The following is a 4,539-nucleotide window of genomic DNA, read 5'->3' on the forward strand; positions in this document are numbered from 1 at the left end:
AAATTCATCTGTAGTATATAAACACAGCTATTGTTGACAATGGGAAAGGAGTGGGTTATTTTTTTTTCGTAAAAGCAGAACACATATTCTTCATACTTTAAAATGATGTTAATATGTTTTTTCCCCTTGACCTGTAAGACTCATTTTTTACTTAGTAGATCAAATCAACACTGGTTGCCCCACACAAAAAAAGTCAGTGTATCTTTTGAAAAAAGGCTTTACTTTCAGAGAAGATGATGACAGGGATATCCATGAGTTTATAAGGTGGGCTTGTGCCAATGCATGATATTAGCTGTCAAGACTATCTGTGGTCATGACAGGATCTTCAGATAGTGGGGATTCTGGGAAGGAAGGACCTGAGACTGGATAAAAGGGGCCCAGTGTTCAGTGGACCTTGGAAAAAAAATGGAATCCCATCCAGTTAGATAGCCCAGCTCTCTGAAACCCTGGTGTGCTGGTACCCTACTTGCAGACCAGCGGTTGAGGAACTGATGAACTCCTGTTTTGACTCATGAGTAGCATCCTGATCTGTGCAGACATCCCAAGGCTGGACCAATTGTCATGGGATTGGAGCATGAATAACATGCAAATGACTTGTCAGAACAGGTTGGAGAGTTGGGGTAGGAAGGGGAATAGTGTTTCCTCAGAACAGAGTGTCTTTTACAGCCATGTGGGAAGGAAAGTAAAAGAGGACTTCCAAATCAAGGATGGAGGTTGAACAGAAGGTACTGGTTTTAGGAATAAGCCATTTTCATTAAGAATACTCAGATTGCTGTTTGTCTCCAGGTTTTTCCATCATATCATTGTGAATACTGCTTTTCTCTGCAGAAAGAAAAGTCTTTGCAAATTGATTGTATCTAACTGTAGGAGCTGGAACCTCCTCGTTATGTTAAGCCATCACAGATGTACACTGGATTTGGGGAATGAAGTAGCTGGTGATCATCCCCTCTGGAAATGTTCCTTTGGGAATTTGAGGTTCATATTTATGCAAGGAGTTCAACATGATCTGGCACCCTCTGTTGAGCTAATTCGTGAGTTTGACTTTGATGAAGGAAACAAGTGCCCTTTGATGTCTGGAGAGTCAGAGTGGATGTAGATAGAGCTAGGGCTGGCAGTTTGGGATTACCCCAGGACACCCACTCTCTGCCCACACACTTCCAGCGGTGGCCAGCTAGATCACAAAGTGCAGGAGGAAAGAATATATGGTGTTATTGTCCAGGCCAGACAGATTCAGCTTCAGCTCTGGAAAAACTCTTCTGTCCTTCTTGGTGACATCATCTGGAAGTGCAAACACATGTAGCTCCTGGGCCAATGCTTGGGGCTACCCTCCTCACTGTTGGCCTGCAACTTGCTCTCCACAGAGCTCAGCCAGTTGTTCACCAGGTACTGCAGGCTCTTTCTAAGCCCCGTGCACAAAGGGAGCTCCTCTTCTTGACTACCTGTCACCACAGTCCCCTATAACTCCAATTCGCTACCCAAGAACTACTATCAACTCCTTTCAATGGCCACTCTTCCAAGACAAGGAATTTCAAAGGCCCACAGGACCCAGAAATAGACCTGAGATGCGAATAAATGTGGAGATTTGTAGGGAGGGGGTAAGGACAGAGGAGTGACAGTAAAGGTTATTCCACCCGAATGCCTGCAAGGCACCACTAAAGTCCTTTGTGGCACGGCATTTGTTTTGAAAAATTACAAATTAGGCAATTGACCAGCACATAAATATTTATAAAAATTATAAATACAGCCATTAATTTCTTGGAAGACCTTTTTTAATCAAAAGAAGCACTTCAAATGCCTCAGAACATAAGTTATACATACATCAGGATTATTATATCTTGTAATTTTCTATAATATTTTGTTAGATTTTTATACTGTTTTTAAGTGTCTTGGCCACAGATAATTCAAGTTTGATATATATTTGGAAGGCTTCTTTAAAGGTTTCCTATGAGAGCTGCAATTTTTGACAATTTAGAAGTTATAGACACTTTTGGATGGTAACTTAGTAAAGTACCATATGCTGTGAACATGACTTTTTGTGTTTTCCAAGCAACACTGGGTATGTCTGTGAACCTGACCTGCACAAAGTAGTTATTTCAGTTCTTTAAGCCTCCTGCCAAACTGGTGTAGTAGCTTTTAATATGGGCAGATGGCCACTTCAAAACAAATCAAAATACAATATTTGGTCTCTAAACTTATCTGAATTCAAATCTTTGAATATGAATGCTAGCTCAGATTGAATTTCAGGTCCTGCTAATTGTTTTGATGTAGCTAGGCAGTTTGCATGAAACATGTTTGATCAAATAGCTAACACAGGCTTCACTTCTTAGTAAATAGTTGTGTAATGTCCCTTCTGGTGCTTTGTTAAATGTGATAACAAAGTTAAAATATAAAAGTATTAATCTGCAGCTCCTATGGAGTATAAAATGGACAAATATATATTAACAAGAAACACCAATCTAATTCAGAGCCTATGAATGCATGGTTTATTGCTGAAATCTGGCAGAACTTTTAAACGTTTAATCTGCAAGTAGCATCTAAGAGAAATATGATTAAGAGCAAAACATGTAAGTGCAGTGGTTTATAACAGAGTAGCTGTGGCACAAGCTTCAAGCAAACAAAAGTAATTACGTTGATTTAAGCGGTTCCTTCCCATTAATTCTCACACTTCCTTGTCTTTGGACTTTGTTGTCCTTTTTTCCTCCCTGCTTCCCTCCCTACTGTTTTCCCTCCCCCACCTCCTTCTTCTCCTCCTTCTTATTACTCTACCCCTCTTTTTCCCTTTTCTTTTTCCTAGTTGATCTCTTTAAAATGCAGTAGTGGGTTAAATAGATTGTTTAAGATTAACTAAATTGATTATAATTAAATAACTACATATGCCATTAACACAAGATGCTTTCCTGGGTCACTCAGAGCTAAAGAATGCAGATTTCATATATTAGATGGATCAATGTTTGTTGTAAATTATATCCATTATATTATAAGCATCATAATGAGAAAAATGCAAATAAAACTGCAGTCATTTTTCCCCCATAAGATTAGAAATATATGAAAAATTTGATAACACACCCCAGACTAAGAGGGAAAATAGACTAAAGGGAAAAAGACATTATTGTATTTAAATGGTACTATTCCTATGGAGTTTATTACATATGCTTTTATCTTTGGCTCAACATTCTCACTTAATGGAGTCTTTCCCGGGACCAAAGGTAAACTGACATTACTTTGGAATAATATAAGGCAAACATTTTTCAATGCAACAATATTTTTACTAGTGTAAAATTGGAATCAACCAAAAAAATTCAACAGTAGAATTCTTGTTGGGTAAATTGTAGAATCTTTGCACTATGTACTACTGCATTATGTATCTGTTAAAGGCATTGGGAGAATCTTTGTGTAGTTGATTATATATTGTATATTCTGGAGTATAAATTGTTAAGTAATAAAAGGAAATTGCAGGCTGGATGTGGTGGCTCATGCCTGTAATCCTAGCACTTTGGGAGGCCGAGGCAGGCGGATCATCTGAGGTCAGCAGTTCGTGACTAGCCTGGCCAACAAGGCAAAACCCCATCTCCACTAAAAATACAAAAATTAGCTGGGCGTGGTGGCAGGTGCCTGTAATCCCAGACACTTGGAAGGCTGAGGCGGGAGAATTGCTTGACCCCGAGAGGCAGAGGTTGCAGTAAGCCAAGGCCAAGATCGCACCATTGCATCCCATCCTTGGGGACAAGAGTGAAACTCTGTCTCCAAAAAAAGAAAAAAAAGCAAGCTTAAAGCAAAGTTTATTTAAGCATAGAAGCACAGTAATACACTCTCAGATGGAGAGCAAGCTGACTTCTACGAAGTGAAGTCAGCCCCTCTTTACAGAGCTAAAGGTGCTTGTATTGGGTTTGTGGGGAGGAGTGACAGGATGATGTCATTTGATCGGCAGTTTGTGGTTATATAACTAAAGTTAAATTGCACATGTTCTTACCCATAATTCATACAGAAAAGCCCACTTGGAGAGGGGGTAAAATCACATATAAATTTTATAATAATGATGGTATGATGAGCTTGGGGTTAACTTGAGGACACAGTTCCATATTACTGGGCATGTGCCACTTTAGGGAATTTCCACCTGTGCCCTAGTTTCTCTTTCTACAGGATGTGCTGGCCACAGACTTTACCACAAACTCCATCCATTAGGGTGAAGTTAGGGAGGTCTTAGGGCTGAATGTTGGTGGGCCAGGGGCTGTCTTAGTGACAGTCTTTCTGCTCTCCTCCTTTCATTCCCTCCCAGCTGCTAATATCTATTTAAGTACCTAACATTAGAAACACAGAACTACAAATAATCTTACACTACATTCAGTTATTCTTTGATCATAATAATATTGTTGTTACTAATTTGAAGTGATTATAAATATATTGCAAGGTAATTGAAATAGTCCAGTCCATCACTGTTTTTAATATCTAAAATGTTTCAATATTTTTAAAAGGTACAATTATGAAAATTAAAAAAAATAACAAAACTGCACTTTTCAGTTTAAAGTAGATATATTTTCA

The 4,539-nt window shown here is 38.8% G+C and overlaps 1 pseudogene, besides 1 other annotated feature; it reads right to left on the bottom strand.

Annotated features, from left to right (window-relative positions):
- LOC100533667 (T-box transcription factor T pseudogene) lies at nucleotides 238-1,398 on the bottom strand (annotated as a pseudogene).
- Nucleotides 3,530-3,721: a silencer, noted in NCBI's record as "fragment chr5:28216768-28216959 (GRCh37/hg19 assembly coordinates)". NCBI's record gives its function as "represses an EF-1alpha promoter that drives an FKBP-Casp9 reporter gene in an ReSE screen in phorbol 12-myristate 13-acetate-treated (for megakaryocytic differentiation) K562 erythroleukemia cells {active_cell/tissue: K562(+PMA)}" and the evidence as "EXISTENCE:reporter gene assay evidence [ECO:0000049][PMID:32094911]".

This window comes from Homo sapiens, chromosome 5 (genome assembly GCF_000001405.40).
Source record: "Homo sapiens chromosome 5, GRCh38.p14 Primary Assembly".
Taxonomy (NCBI): Eukaryota; Metazoa; Chordata; class Mammalia; order Primates; family Hominidae; genus Homo; species Homo sapiens.